Source organism: Homo sapiens, chromosome 11 (genome assembly GCF_000001405.40).
Source record: "Homo sapiens chromosome 11, GRCh38.p14 Primary Assembly".
NCBI lineage: Eukaryota > Metazoa > Chordata > Mammalia > Primates > Hominidae > Homo > Homo sapiens.
In genome coordinates, this window is record NC_000011.10 from 59,409,563 (window position 1) to 59,426,634 (window position 17,072).

General features: G+C 38.7%; 1 protein-coding gene across 1 annotated transcript; it reads right to left on the reverse strand.

The window, feature by feature from the left end:
• Positions 1 to 7,406: 7,406 nt before the first annotated feature.
• OR5A2 (olfactory receptor family 5 subfamily A member 2) lies at positions 7,407 to 16,851 on the reverse strand. The gene is made up of 2 exons (NM_001001954.2): positions 16,609 to 16,851; positions 7,407 to 13,482 (listed from the first exon to the last, which is right to left on the reverse strand). Exon 2 carries the CDS (start codon positions 13,389 to 13,391, stop codon positions 12,417 to 12,419), a length of 975 nt encoding a protein of 324 aa, NP_001001954.1. The 5' UTR covers positions 13,392 to 13,482; positions 16,609 to 16,851; the 3' UTR covers positions 7,407 to 12,416.
• Between the last annotated feature and the right edge of the window lie 221 nt (positions 16,852 to 17,072).

Here is a 17,072-nt window from a genome sequence, read left to right on the forward strand (position 1 = left end):
AGTTTTGTCACACTCTCACCTACATGAGAACCTGACCAAAAAAGGGGAATTTTTAAACAAAATTATGGGAGGCCATTGTTTTGGACTGAGCTCATGCAGTAGGCCCCAAGAAACCAGACCAAACCAAAATGGAGTCACTCATGCTAAATGTGACATAATCAAACTAAGACTTTAAGGAAACACCTAGATCCTACAACAGACAAGGGGTTTTTTCATGTAAACAGGACATTCCAGCATAAGGAGGAACCTTCTACTGAATCCTTGTTCCTACTTTATAAAACCCACTCTTTTACTGTTTCCCAGTGGGTTTCAATACCAAATAAGTATCTTTACAATGGTGGTAGTGACATCAACAACTAAAGTTTCAGTTAATCTCTCAAAATTGAGAGGATAACCAAAGGGGGGAATTGTTAAATCAATTTTAGCATAAAGCTGCCTCCTTACAGATTTTAGGTTCATCCTAAAGGTTTTTCTGTAAATTGTGAACTATAAAGAGTGGAGGTGTAAATAGACCGTAGCCTACACTTGTGCTGATCACCGAGTTTTGGCCAATCAAGTATAGCCAACTGTTCGAACCGTGTTCAAATAAGGCAAACGCTGATATGTAACCAATCCAGTTGTTTCTGTATTTCACTTTTGTTTTCTGTAGGTCACTTTCCTTTCTCTGTTCATAAATCTTCTTCCACCACGTAACTGTGCTGAAGTCTCTGAGCCTACTCTGGTTCAAGAAGCAGCTCAATTCATGAATTTTTCATTGCTCAATTAAACTGCTTTAAATTTAATTTGGCTGAAGTTTTTGTTTTATCGGGAGTCAAAGAGGAAGAAGTGAGTAAAGTGTGCAGGAAAGTTTGGAAAGATAAATAATATTCAGCCACCCCCACTTGCCAAGCATGAACAGTTTCACCTCCTTCCTCCCTGCCTTACTAGCTCTTTATCTTCTCTCTCCAGATTGAATAAGAAGAGAAGAAATCCTTATTTTTCAGCCCAAGACACTAAGCGGGATTAAGCCTATGTCATTTGCTCTTCAAAGTCTGGGTTTTCTTTCAGAAACACACTGGACATTATATGGGAATAACACTTAGAGACTGGGCTGTGGAGAAGACCAAAGAGTCTGCTACAATATATTAGCAAATAAATTCTCTTACTTCTAACATAAATTTAGTCTTTGTTTTATTCCCATCCAACCTTCCTGTTAGAAATTTTACTTAGCTGTATATAATGAGATAATATGTTTGAAATATCATCTAGTTTTTTACCTAGTATTCTTTTCCCCATATCTCTAATCATTTCTTTCTCCCAGGCAGGTAGGTTGTTAGGTTCTCAAGCCTCAGAAAAAAAATGTGACAGCAAAAGAAAGTTGAATTAGAAGTGATAAGACCAAAATCATGAGTGAGTCTTCAGAATGGCTTACAGACAAAGCCTGAGATACATCACAACCTTCACCCAGGTTTGGAGACACCAAAAGCAGAGAGCCTATAACTATGTTTTGTTCAAGGTCTTGGATGGCAGGCAGAAACTTAAGAAAATAGAGTTGTGGGGGCTTCCAAGTAGACATTTGAGTGCTGCAGCTTCCCGTGCAATATTCAGGATGGGAGAAACGGAACAATCTCCATCTAACCAAGGGTAGCTTATCAGGTCATCGGACCTAATCGATCTTGAGGATAGGAATAAACAGAAATCAGCAACAACTCGTTTGTGATTTAACAGCTGGGATCTGATGAAACAATAGATATTTTCAGAGTTGCTAGTACAGTAAGATCAAGGATCAGATGCCCCCAGTACTCTGACATCATTCAAGTTCTATAGAACTTAGACATAAACCTGGAGGTTGGGGAAGAAAAGGAACTTGAATTGATTTTTTTCCCTCAGTGGAGAAAAAAGGAGAGCATAAAGTAAAAATAGTTATGGGATGATGATGAAAATTGCATTTCTTGAATACCAGAATTTGTAGGTTGTCTAAATCCCTTGACTGTTTATATAAGTATTATCATCTTCCAGGTGCATTATAATAGACCAACTGACTATACCTCAATTTATTTAACCATTTTCTTCTATTTTTGTTTTAAGCCACAGTGTTTTGTAGTAATTCCTTGTACAGTAATAGGCAATTAACATCCCAAGAATTTCGACAACTTATTCAAAATGAGTCTTATTTTTGTGATTCTTGGTATATATTACAAAATTAATTTTAGACACAGGAATCTTTTATTTTAATGGCAGAAAAAAAGAACTTAAACTGGATGAAGCATTAAAGTGAATCTTTTAGTTCATAAAACAGAGGTATTCAGAGAAAATTTGATCACTGGCTCAAACACTATTACTAAATATCCAATTTCCTTTATTCTGTTTAGTATGCCTTATGCAGGAATTGTGCCATCCTGTGGCAAATTTTCCTAGTAGTAGCATAATTATTTTCTTTTATTATTATTATTATTATTATTATTATTATACTTTAAGTTTCAGGGTACATGCGCACAATGTGCAAGTTAGTTACATATGTATACACGTGCCATGCTGGTGTGCTGCACCCATTAACTCATCATTTAGCATTAGGTATATCTCCTAATGCTATCCCTCCCCCTTACCCCCACCCCACAACAGTCCCCAGAGTGTGATGTTCCCCTTCCTGTGTCCATGTGTTCTCATTGTTCAGTTCCCACCTATGAGTGAGAATATGTGGTGTTTGGTTTTTTGTTCTTGCGATAGTTTACTGAGAATGATGATTTCCAATTTCATCCATGTCCCTACAAAGGACATGAACTCATCATTTTTTATGGCTGCATAGTATTCCATGGTGTATATGTGCCACATTTTCTTAATCCAGTCTATCATTGTTGGACATTTGGATTGGTTCCAAGTCTTTGCTATTGTGAATAGTGCTGCAATAAACATATGTGTGCATGTATCTTTATAGCAGCATGATTTATAGAAAACCCCATTGTCTCAGTAGTAGCATAATTCTTGTACAAGTTCCAGATCTCATGGTCTCACCTCAAATCATCCTAAAGAAGAGATCATCTCTTCTGATAGATACCACAGATGAAAGGTTTCTTCCCAGATGCCTAGAAAGCATCTCCTTGCGTTTTTCTGTCTTTGATTGGGCTATATTGCCCACTTCTACTCCAAGCTATTTGTTACAGCTTTTGGATGATATTTGCTGATTGCTGATTGGCTTAAACCAATCAGGATTTATCTCTGAACCCAGAGTTCGAACCAAACTTACTCAATGACAGCTGAGAACAGAAAAGGACATCTCTCCCCACTGTAAAAAAAAAAAAAATTCAAGATACTCCTCTGAGAAAGACTGATTATTGATGCTAGGTGACATATAAATAAATAAATAAATAATCACTGACTTTTGAAACTTAACTCTCAATGTAATAAATGTAAATTACACATAGTTTTAAAAGTCAAGTTAATTTTAATACTTAATATGGAAAACAGTTCTGGTTCTATCCTCATTCTTGCTCCTGATGTAGCACTCTGTTCTTGTTTGAAGGACATAATATCTTCTTTAATCTGAGCGTATTAATTTTTGAATTTTTTTCCTATTCTTATAGCTCTTGAATTGTCGTTTGTCATTGGGTTCCTTTTCCTAAAACAAACATTGGGTTTGTTTTAGGGCTCTGTCTGGTAGTCCTTGAGTATGCTTTCAAATTGCAGAATGAGCATTTAAAAAACAAGTTCTGAAGCTTGGTGTTCATGGTCAGAGATAGTCTTCTGGCAGACTTTCTGCTAGGTTATCTGGCAGCAACTTCACAATTGCTGAGATAGACCCCTCTGTAAGCATCAGTAGTTACGTTCCCTTGGGCAGGATTTTCTCTACATAGAAATTCAGTCTTTTGCCTAGAAGATATCAACCCAGTTAGGAGTGTTCCAAGCATTGAATGCGTGAATGGAGTAAGTGCATGGTGGACAGAGAAGCTCAAACTGGGGAAATCTCCCTTTTCGCGATGTAGACACTATTGTAATGCCTCTTTTTTTTAGCATTCCTCCTTAGCTATGTCTGATAGCTCTGAGCCCACAGTCTCTGGTTCAGTTCTCCAGAGAATAAACTTCCAGTCTTCTGACAGAGCTGGGGAGGGATGGTTGGGGGAAGGTTGCTGTATGCAAGAAGAAGGGAGGGGATGGTCCAGGAATCCAGTTGTTTCTCAATAGATTTTCAACCAAACTGCCAGTTCTAAGCCTCACACACCCTGTACAGGTTCCTAGTGGTTTTCATTTCTGATCCTTTCTGAGATTGTGCAATCAAATGGCTTCTTCCCTATTCTTCCACCCTAGCTCGTCCAAAACCCAAAGCTTTCTGATTTATTTATTCTGAGTTGGTTGCCTCTCATACATCTGCTTTCTACCTTCCGACTCTTGTCACCACTTCTCTTATTCTCTACATCCTGGTGGTTTTGTAATTTTAAAAAAAACTTTTATTGTCATTTGTGGTGGGCTCCAGGAAGGAGTAAAGACAAAAGTATGGCTTTAGCCTAAATGTTTAACCAAATATCGCTACAACTATATTTTCAAAATGTTTAAATCATTTTATATTTTTCCTAGAAATAAGTGACTATATACTATCACTCACTGTATTTTCCCCCATATTCAGATAATGCAATTTTTAAATTATTTTAATATTTGTTTTGGGCTGATATTTTATTAGGTAGAAGAATTACTTCAATTTTCCTTTGTTACCTTTGGAACAGAACTTTTTGTTCATATGTTTATATTTTTAAGCAGATTCATTTAATTCTAATTTCTATTTCCTCTGCTTATTAAAATGTAATTAGCTTACACTGTTATTATACCAATTTCTGTAGCCTAATGATTGCTCATAAAAACATGTTTTAATATTCCTAAGGCCTTATTCCTGAGTAATAAACATATATACATATATGTGTGTAGATTAAAGATATGAGGAAAACACATTTTGCTTTCATTCTAAAAGTATAATTAAATCATAGTTTTAAAAATTAAATTGCAATCTGTCAAATTTGACTGAAAAACTGAGAAATTCTGTATCCTCAACATAGAATCCAAAATAAGTAACTTTATTAACATACATTAATTGATCTAAAAAACAAGGCCAATCAATACACAATTTTGATCTGCTCTATAAAAAGCTAATTCAAAAACAAAAAAGAATATATGTTGTTACAATATAATATAGCATAAAAATTAGATAGTCTTGATAACCATATTTCCCCCAGAAGAAGTCTACTGAGAACTTACCTGTCACATAGATTATTTGTTTTATTTTTTAATCAAGCACTTTTAGGAACTTTGCTGAATGTAAGTGATAGGATAATTTTGACTCAGTAGGAGCCCAAATACTAAGATTTGCTCTAAAATACTAATGTTTATTCATTCATTCAACAAATCTTGATCAAATGCATACCTAATGTGCCAGGCACTGTTCAGATGCTGGGACCTCAACAGTCCTATTATCAATGACAGAAGCCAAGGTGACTGAGAGTGTACAGCGTATGGTACATCTTCCCTTCCTCTTTAGAACCCAGCAAAGACAGGTAGTTAATAATGTCAGAGAAAAATTTGCTGAAGTGAATGACATGGTTTGGCTGTGTACCCATCCAAATCTAATCTTAAATTGTAGCTCCCATAGTTATCTCATTCTGTGGCAGGGACCTGGTGGGAGATAATTGAATCATGGGAGCAGTTTCCCCCATACTGTTCTCATGGTAGTGAATAAGTGTCACAAGATCTGGTGGCTTTATAAGGGGCTTCCCCTTTTGCTTGGCTCTCATTCTTCTCTTGTCTGCTGCCATGTAAGACATGATTTTCACCTTCCACCAGGGTTGTGAGACTTCCCCCAGCCAAGTGGAACTGAGTGCATTAAACCTCTTTCTTCTGTAGATTGCCTAGTCTTGGGTATGTCTTTATCAGCAGCGTGAAAACAGACTAATACAGTGGGACTCCTCCCCATCCCACTCCCACTAAGAACTCCTACAAGACAAAAGCTACCTTTCGAGGATAGAGAAAAGGTACCATCAAACTCAGCTTTAGGGACGCATGCCAAATACAAAAAAGAAGGGGGAAAAAAAGGATAAAAATGATTGTTTTAATTAGCTTGACTTTATCATTCCACATTGTAAATACATATCAAAACATCACATTGTACCCCATAAATACATATAATTATGATGTCAATTAAAATAATTTTTTTAAGTGTAATGGTGAGTTACAGCTCATTGTAATTGTAAAATAAAAGTAAATCAACATCAGCCATAAAAAGGAACAAAATCATGTCTTTTGCAAGGACATGGATGGAGTTGGAAGCCATTATCCTCAGCAAACTAATGCAGGAACAGAAAACCAAACACTGCATATTCTCACTTACAAATGGGAGCTGAATGATGAGAAGACATGAACACATGGAGGGAAACAACACACACTGGGGCCTGTTGGGGTGGGGAGGGAGAGCATCAGGAAGAATAACTAATGGCTGCTGGGCTTAATACCTAGAGGATGGGATGATCGGTGCAGCAAGCCACCATGGCACATGTTTACCTACATAACAAACCTGCACATGTATCCTGGAACTTAAAATAAAAACTGAAACAAAAAAGTGATGAGGAGGACTCTCCAAGTAGGTAACTAGTTTCAGGTAGGATTGAATGGGAGAGGGTTCTTGGGAGCCTTCAGGTTATTCCTGCTGCTTGGGGGCGGGAGGTGGAGGAGGAGCTGAAGGCGGAGGTATGAAATCAACCACAAAAGTAAAATGTATGTAAAGTTTTAAAAAAGAAACGTAAAATCACATGATAAAGTTATTTGTTTTTGAAATGTTATTACAAATAGTTTGTAATGTTAAAACATAGGAAGAGGTTAAAAAAAGGTAAATCAAATGAGTAAAGAAGACCAAAGTCCTAATAAAAAGATGCTTAAGTTGCTAAAGCAAGAAAATCTCATCTATCACCTTCTGTTGGAAAACCACCAGGGATGGCATGTATGATGAAAAATAATTCCAGAACCTTTCAAGATCTGAAAGCCACAGACATTGAAGGTGTTAAACAGGGAAGGAATACCTACTTTGCCTTCTGGTAAAAAAGAAGGTCTGCAAGAAAAAAAAAAAGTGGCATTTATACGCGTAGTACAGACAACGTAAGTAATTGTCAGTACTATCTCTCACAGGGCACATGAAATGTGGAGAGGGAAGACTAGATTGGTGCAGGACTTCTGAGAAAACCCACATCTTGATGATTCTCCCAGGACACCTCCCGCTGCAGCTCAGCCCCAGATGGAGTCTCACTGCCAATTCTGCCAGGCTACATACATAGCTTTCAGTTGTTAGGAAATGAGCTATGAGTTTCAGTGTTGTGTCTGACTTATAGGCTTTTCTCCTTCTAAACCATGCGGAGCAATTTTCCTTCTTAAGAATTTCTTAAGATCAAAGCAACCCAGCCTCTTTTTGCATAAGAAAGATGTTTTATTAGAACAAACAAGAATATACCATACAATATCAAAGTGATACTTTATGCATGCCAATTTTTCTATGCATGCTGACATTTAAGTCTAGTTTGACATCATAGTTCCATCTCAGAAGAACGTGGCTTTGAACACAAGATGAATTCTCTGTTTTTCTATGAGGTCTCCCCGGGTCCCAGCTGCCGGTTTATTTATAGAATGTGGTCCCACCCAAAGTGTGCGGTTAGTCTCTTCAACTAGATACTGCCAGCCATTTGGTCTGGCAATTCTGAAGAGAGATGCTGCTATATCTAGTTTGTAAAAGTTCCAAGCCATGAATGCAAGAGACCGGTGTGGCTATTTATTTGCCTGTACAAAAGAGTGAACTCTTATCCCTGGCCAGGCCCACAAGCAGTATTACATATAGGAGGTCTTAACCAGCATAAGGGGAGAGAGAAACACAAGAAGAGAGAGGGTAGAATAAAGGCAGCAAAGGTCAATATAAACACCTGGCTTATCATCCCCAGGGGGTTTGAAAATGTTATAGACATGAGGACAAGTCACCAGGAAATCAGGGAGGTAGTCACGGATCAAGCTGATGGAAGAACGTGCTGGCATACATGGCGTATCACCTTACATGCAAGATAGTCAGGTTGCCCCTGCTTGCTTTTATGTCAGGGAGATCCAGATTCATTATCTAGACACAAGCAAGTGAAATACAAATGATTCCTCATTTCTGTGGATGATCACAGAGTAGGCAAGCTCTAGGTTTGTGAAGGTTTAAGACTAGAAACATAAGACTATTCATCTTTAGAAAAATGTTAAGCATCTCATCAGAGCTCCTTTAATGCATCACTCATTAATTCATGAGTGTGCATAATTACATGTACCTACAAAGAAAAAAAGTAAGTGAATGTTGATGGTGCATAGGACAACAACAAGGTGTCTACAAAACTCTAACACTTAAACCATAAAATCAGCCCGTGGTTTCACTACGCACTCTCTGTGTGTAAATTGTGTCACAGAAGCATTTTAGAGAAAAAAATATATATTTCTTAGACCAAAAGTAGGAAAAGCTGTAAGTTCATCAATCTATAAATATTGATTAGAAGGGAGGACAGTCATCTTGGAAGAAAGGAAAAGGAATGCTTGGGGAGAAAAATTGGTAGTGCCCTTGCCCAGGGCCTCAGCCGATCTGGACCCTCTAGCTGGGTGTATCAGGAACTGATCCACTTTATCAGCTTTGCTGTGATCCCTTTCTCTCCAAATAGACTTTTCATTGTAATTTGTCTTTCTATATGGCTTCCTGACAGATGGATAATTGTGCCACTGGCGTAAGTTCAAGCTTGGCAGCTTTGTTCTTCACTGAAAATTAAATCTGTCATTCTGGCTTATGCAGATAGCTATTCTGAGCTTGGTTAACTTCAGTCCATCTGGAAAAGATTTTTGGAAGTTGCAAACATGAGTGCCACACCCTAGATGATGGTAATTTTACTAAAGTGAATTCTATCTCCAGCTAGCTAGCCCTCCCAGGAAAGAGTTTCACCTCCTCCTCCTTCAAATGGCTATAAAATGCCTGATTCCTTAAGGGCCCAAAATATTCTGTTTAATGTGTGTCTGATTATATGCCCCATAATAAATACACTTGTTTAGGAAATATTTAACATGTGGCTTACTGTATACCCCCAAACATTCAAGTCTTACAACCAATCTCCATCTTATGTATTACAATTAATGCATATTAATTCTATTAATAAGACTTACATTCTTCTTGGTAGTTGGGCAAACTGCAAAAATACCTTATATCTTCTCAGTGCAATGAGAAATTTACCATTACTCGTAGATATATATGTGATTGAACAAGAAAAATTTTTATGAAGACTTTTTATTCAGAATCTCTGTTCATCAAAAAAGTTTAGAGATGGTAAAGATTGATAATAGCTCCATGTAAATCCAAAGCATGAGACATTTTCATTAGTTAATTGTGTCGCTTCAATGACTACCATTTTGAAAATTGATAAACTGAAGGATAGGAGCTTGGTGAGTTAGAGTACAGGTCAAGAATGGTGGAGGAAAAAAAATAGCTATAAGGAAAAGGGGGAGAGGCATCCAGGTAGCTGATAGAGTTGGCAAAATGGCCACAGCTGTGAACCTGAGCCCGCTCTAGTTCCCTAAGAACTGCTTCTGATATGCAAGAGAAATCATAGAGATAGTAATATGGGTGCACCTGTTGGCTGAGACTGATATGTCTCAATTGGAGTGGATACCCTAAACTTATTTCTTTGGTCTCTTTTTAACACATTACCCGGATTTTCCTTGACTTATATAAAACTGAGTAAAAATATTGACTAATAATGTAAGCTAACCTGTACTAAGTATTACCATATGCCAGGCACTGGGCTAAGCCCTCTTTATGCATATTCTCACTTAATTGTTGTATCAATTTTATGGGGTATGTTGACAAAAAGAGTCAAACTCTGTAAAATATTTGAAGAGATTTATTCTGAGCCAAATATGAGTAACCATGGCCCGCAACACAGCCGTCAGAAGGTCCTGAGAATATTCGCCCAAGGTGGTCGGGGTACAGCTTGGTTTTATATATTTTAGGGAAGCATGATACATCAATCAAATACATTTAAGAAATACATTGGTTTCGTTCAGAAAGGCGGGACAACTCAAATTGGAGACTTCCAGGCTATGGGTAAATTTAAACATTTTCTGGCAGACAATTGGTTGAGTTCGTCTGAAGACCTGGGATTAATGGAAAGAAATGTTCAGGTTAAGGTAAAGGATTGTGGAGACCAAGTTTTATTGTGCAGAAGAAGCTCTCAGACAGCAGACTTCAGAGAGAGCAGGTTGTAAATTGTTTCTTATCAGACTTAAAAGGGTGCCTGGCTCTTAGTTGATTATCTCCTAGATCAGGGAAGGAAGGAAGGAAAACAAAGTGGAGAGGGGATTCTCTATAGAATGTGGATTTTTCCCACAAGAGACTTTGCAAGGCAATTTCAAGGTATGTCAAGGAAATATATTTTTGTGTAAAACATTTTGATTTTCTTCCTTGTTATGCTACAGTCAGATTGTAAAGTAAGTCACTGTATATGGTGTTAAATAAAACCCATCTAATGAGAATTTATGGTTTGCAGGGCATGACTCCCCAGACCCCTTAGAAAGGAATTTGGGCAAGATAAAAAAAATCAGAGCTTAGTCCTCAGGTAGCTACAGATGAGGAAAACAGAGTTTCTAAATAACTTGGATCAGGCTATGTACCTACAAAATGGCAGAGATGAAATTAATAATCTCAGATCCAATGACTTAAAAGTGAATATTCTTAACCCTCTTTGCAAAAGTCCCTCCATATCCTCTTTCTAATGCAATAAAGCCATTGCAAAAATTACATTTCCTACCAAACTAAGGAAATCTCTTCTATTTCTTCTATTTGGATAATGATTAAGCATTATATAATAATAATAATAGTAATAGCACCTCTGGGACATTTTCTATTCACAATGCAGTATTCTAAGTATTTACATGTACTGACTCATTTAATTCTTCACAATAGTCCTAGGATAAAATTACTATTATAATTTCCATTTTATGGTTAGGATCTGAGGCACCTAGAGTCCAAGCAACTTGCCTAAAGACACACAGGCAGATATTATTTACTCACTTATTTATAGCCTACCCAAGAAAGGCCACAGCTGAATGAATTTATTCTAGTTCTTTAATGCCAGTTCAAGGATACATAACAAGTTCTAAGAAAATGTAGAGGAGAAAAATCATTTTCTTCAATTCTTTGGCTAAGTTCTCTTCCAGAATTAATCACAGCCCTGGTAAAAATAGAGAACTTTTCATCCCAAATGAGCGTATGCTTCTCTTTAGATTCCTAAGAAACTTTAATTGTCAGTTAGAAAGCTGTCACTTTGGGCTTAAGCAATAATTCCTTGGTTTTATTCAAATTGTTTTAGTGGCCTCTTTTTGTAGTTGATTGAATTGGCCGAGAGGTTTTTTGTTCAGTCATTAAGGCCTACTGTTCTTGCACTGCTATAAAAATATTCCTTAGGCTAGGTAATTCATAAAGAGATTTAATTGGCTCACAGTTCTTCAGGCTTTACAGGAAGCATGGTGCTGGCATCAGCTTAGCTTCTAGGGAGGCCTCAGGAAACTTACAATCATGGCAGAAGGCAAAGGGGGAGCAGGTACATCACATGACAAAAGCAGGAGCAAGAGAGAGAGGCAGAGTGAGAGGAGAGAGAAAGTGGCAGGGGATTGGTGGGAGTGCTACACACTTTTAAATGACCAGATCTCACAAGAACTCACTATCATGAATACAACACCAACCCATGAGAGATCCACCCCCATAGATTCAAACACCTCCCACCAGGCCCCACCTCCAGCACTGGAGATTGCAATTAAACATGAGATGTGAATGGGGACAAATATCCAAATTCTATCAAGGCCCAAATCAGAATTATTGCCTTAATGCCTCTAAAGAGTATGAAAACTCTCCCATCAGTCACAGGGGCTCCTATGGCCATGATTCTGAAACATGGGAAGGTATCTGCCCTGTGGTTTTCATGAGCTCTAAGGAAACCATTTGAGAATCTCAGAAGAGGGAAAGGCAACTGTGTTTAGAAAAAACATCATCCTCTTCAGGTCATTATACCATGTTGTACCTTAAATATCACCACACTAAATGCTGGACTAACATTTTTTCGATGACTTTCCTCCTATACATACAAACTCTGTTTTAACATTCCAGGATGTTTTTTGTCATGATGAAGTTTTCTGCTAGGCAGAGCATTTAAAATCTCAAACTATACAATGCTATTCATTTTACAAGCAACAATGGCCAAAATGTTTTCTAATAGCCAACAGGCAAACTATTAGTGAAATCTTAAGCAGGAGGGAAAAAAGCCTGATTCCCACAATTCATTCTATAGATCAACTAGTTTAAAATTATGTAAATGTCTGCACAATTCACCTAGCTCACAGCTTCATTGTAAACATTAGCCCAAGGTCATAAAAATGAATGGTCCACCGTGAGAAATCCCGGGGTCCCTTTCCATGGCTTTCCTCATGGCATTTTTAATCTCCTTATTCCTAAAACTGTAGATGATGGGATTCACCACGGGGATCACCAAGGCATAGAATATGGACACCACCTTGTCCCTGTTTAGGGAGTAGCTGGAACTGGGTCGCATGTACATGAAGAATCCAGAACCATAGAAGAGGGTCACAGCAGTCAGGTGAGAGGCACAAGTGCTGAAGGCCTTTGTCCTACCTGTAGCTGAGCTGATCTTCACAACAGCAGCAACAATGTAACCATAAGAGATGAGGACCACTAGCACAGACACTATTCCAACGACAACACTGACTATGAAGGTCACCACCTCGCTGGTGAAGGTATCAGAGCAGGACAGAGCCAGGACTGGAGGGAGGTCACAGAAAAAGTGGTTGATCATATAGGGCCCACAGAAATCATGCTGATAGACAGAGTATGTTTCAATGAAAGAACTAAGGAATCCACCCACATAGGCGCCAACCACCATCTTTAAACAAAGTGTATGGGATATGAGGACTGTGTAAAGCAAGGGGTTGCAGATTGCAGCATACCGGTCATAGGCCATAGCTGCCAGGAGAAAGCATTCAGTCAGCCCCATCCCACAGAAGACAAAGTACTGAGTGGCACAGCCAACAAAGGAAATGGTTTTCTGCTCTGTGATGATGTCAGACAGCATCTTAGGGGCGGTGGAGGACACATAGCAGATGTCCAGGAAGGACAGGTTACTGAGGAAGAAGTACATGGGCATGTGCAGGTGAGAGTCCATCTTAATGAGGGCAATGAGGCTTAAGTTCCAGGCCAACGTCAGGAGGTAGAGCCCCAGAAATAACATGAAAAGGAAAATCTTCATTTGAGGATGGTCTGAAAGTCCCAGGAGAATGAATTTTGTCACAATTGTGTTGTTCCTTCCTACAGCCATAGGCCTGCTTCCTGCATAAAGTCTTTACTTTCTTCTTTAAGAATCCTGTGGTCAGCTAGATTTTGTTTGTTATTGTAAGAGTGGGTATTTCCTAGAAGATCATACAAACAGTCAGCAACAAGTTAAACTACACCCAGTTAAAGCCCAGCCACCTGCTAGGCAAAGACTTTTCAGAGGAAGTCAGCCTAGGATAATCCATATGCTCTATGCTTGTTGACCAAAAGAGAATCCATCTAATAATAAAGTAGAAACTGATTGGGAGTCAGAAGCCTGAGTTTTGTCTTCAGCTCCATTCATAACTTGCTGAGGACTTTGGAAAAGTCATTTCTCCAGATTCTCATTTTCCCAAATGGGAAAGGAGAGGGTTGAATCAGATGAGTTTGAAGTGTCCCTTTGGATTTGGGTTCCCTATGGCTTTTTTAGACTTTCTGACTTGAAAATAAAGTGTAAATAAATAAAGTATAATAAAGTTAGGCATTTTTAAGCATTATAGATCTTTAGTATGAGAACTCAAAAGAAGGGAACTGAATTTAGTGGGCTACAATTTTTGACATATTCCATTTTGGTGGAGGAAATCCAGGCAATGGTCTAACAATCTATTCTTCTAGGTAGTAAAACTAAGTGGGAAAAAAATTTGTGTGTGTGTGTGTGTATACATATTTGTGTGTATATGTATATTTGTATATATATATATGTTATATGTGTGTGTGCAGGGATAATTGTATATATGTGTATGTTTGTGCATATATATGCACACACACACTTAGCATGCTTAAGACCAGAACATTTATTCTAATTATATAATGCTCTTAAGAAAAGTCATTGCACAAAATTCATAGAATGACAAAAATTTGGACTAGCACGGTCAGCACAATTATAGGAAAGAAGGGATATGAACAGGTTTCCATAAAGGGGAAAGGGGAGCCGTACCTAAGCTGACTGAGATGGGCTGAGCCATTGTGGTCAAGAACAAACAGCAATCAATATTTCCTGGGCAAGAAAAGCAGCAGGGAGAAGAGGGTTCATTCAATATTTAAAGACAGTGATAAGCAAGGGACAACTTTGATGTCATCAGGCCAGAACAGACGATGACTATGAAGACAAGAGGTAAGCCCATACATATCTGGCAGTTAAGAAAGACAGACTGGCACTGATGTAAGATCAAAATGAGGAAACAGGCCAGGAACAGTGGCTCACTCCCAGCACTTTGGGAGGTGGAGGCAGCCCAATTGCTTGAGCTCAAGAATTTGAGAACAGCCTGGAAAATATGGCAAAACCCTGTCTCTACTAAAAATACAAAAATTAGCTGGGCATGGTGGCATGTGCCTGTAGTTCCAGTTACTGGGGAGGCTGAGGCAGGAGAATCGCTTGAACCCATGAGGCGGAGGTTGCAGTGAGCTGAGATCGCATGCCACTGCACTCCAACCTGGTGACCGAGCGAGACTCCGTCTCAAAAAATAATAACAATAATAATAATACAAAACTTAGCAGGGTGTGGTGGCACATGCCTGTAGTTCCAGCTACTTGGAAGGCTGAGGTGAGGGGGATCACTTGAGCCCAGGAGGTCTAGGCTGCAGTGAGCCATGACCATGACTGTGCCACTGCACTCAAGCCTGGATGACAGAGTGAGACCCTGTCTCAAAAAAAAAAGGAAATTTTTTTTAAAAATTAGGAAATACAAATGCGTATAAAGAGGCAGAAATGCCCTGAGAAAGACTCAGTGGTGAAATTAAGGTTGCTGTATTTTATTATTTGTATGGAATTTGTTTGCCCATGCATGTTTGCACCCAATGGTAACTGTGGTTCTGTGTCACTTATCATATTAAAAACTGCTCCTAGCTTTGTGTTTTTTACAAATTTCTAATCTCCCCTCAAATCACTGGTCAAGCAGTCAAAACCAAGACGAGCCTAGATTGATCTTCACTAAAACATCAATCTATTTAATCCTATCAAAAAGGAAGTAAGAGGAATTTGGTATCTCTTATCTTGGTGAAATCTTCCCTACCAGAATGTAAGTTACTCAAAGACAGGCAGGGAGTTTTGCCCATTCTGTTTCCTGATCTATCCTTGTAACCACCCAATGGGTTCACCTTGCCCACTGCCTAGACAGAGCTCATTTATCAAGACAGGGGAATTGCAATGGAGAAAGAGTAATTCAGGCAGAGCTGGTTGTGCAGGAGGACTGGAGTTTTATTATTACTCAAATTAGTCTCCCTGAGCATCAGGGATCAGAGTTTTTAAAGATAATTTGGCGAGTAGGGGCTTGGGAAGTGGGGAATGCTGATTGGTTAGGCTGGAGATGGAATCAAATGGGTCGAAGTGAGTTTTTCTTGCTGTCTTCTGTTCCTGGGTGGGATGGCAGAACTGGTTGAGCCAGTTAACGGGTCTGGGTGGTGTCAGCTGATCCATCTAGTGCAGGGTCTGCAAAATATCTCAAGCACTGATCTTAGGTTTTACAGTAGTGATGTTATCCCCGGGGCCAATTTGGGAAGGTTTATACTCTTGGAGTCAGAGGCTGCATGACCCCTAAACAGTAATTTCTAATCTTGCAGCTAATTTGTTAGTCCTGCAAAGACAGACTGGTCCCTAGGCAAAAGGGGGGTCTCTTCAGGAAAGAGCTGCTATTAATTTTGTTTCAGAGTCAAACCATGAACTGAATTCCTTCCCAAAGTTACTTCAGCTTATGCCCAAGAATGGACAAAGACAGCTTAAAGATTAGAAGCAAGATGGAGTCAGGTAGATATGATTTCTTTGACTGTCATAATTTCCTCAGTTATAATTTTGCAAAGACAGTTTTATCATAAGTACAAAGAACAGGGCCTGGGACATAGGTGCCCACTAAATATTTTGCTGAATAAATAGATTTTTTTCCACCACTTATCCTCAGAGTTTACCAGAAGGGTTTGGCCTATGACTTACTATATTTGGTGTGTTACTATTATAAGAACAAAACACATAATATATAATTAATCACAAACAATAATCATATAACGATCATAATATAATAATATAATCAAACACTTATTTAGTACTTATTGTGTGCGAGGTACTGTTTGAAAGACTTGATTTTTATAAACCCATTTAATTCTCCTAATAGACTCAAGAAGTGGCAGCGTTTCTCGCCCCATTTTACAAATAAAAGGTAGAATAGGCTGTAAATGCATAGTTGTGATTTGCTGCTGAATGGATGAGGTAGGAGGGAATGAGCTGGACTTACTGGATTGCATTGGGCAGAAGGGTCCTGCAATCTTGTGCTACAAGAGAAGAAATATTGATTGCTTTGTTGCCATAACATCTTTTGCAAACCAGATCATCTGCATTTCCCACTGCTCCATGGCTGGTTTCTCGTTCCATCAATTTCTTATGCTTTGGCCTCATGTAAATAGTAAACCATGCTTCTGGAATCTCCGCTCCTTTGTTAACAAGTCTTCCAAATAAATGGGCTGTGGGAGTTCATTATTTTAATGGGCAGAGGTAGCCACATTCTTTCCCCAAGAGGCTGCCCTCTGCCACTCACTCCAGGGTCCAACATAAAAAGCCCAGCAATCATTAGAGCTAAACATTTCTGAGCACTAATTGTTCCCTGGAGTGGTGGCGAAAAGAGCCAACCGCTCATCACGGGAGCCTCTTTCCATCCCCCTACCTATTCTTCTCTGAGCTTTCCCTGATTTGAGTCCAGGA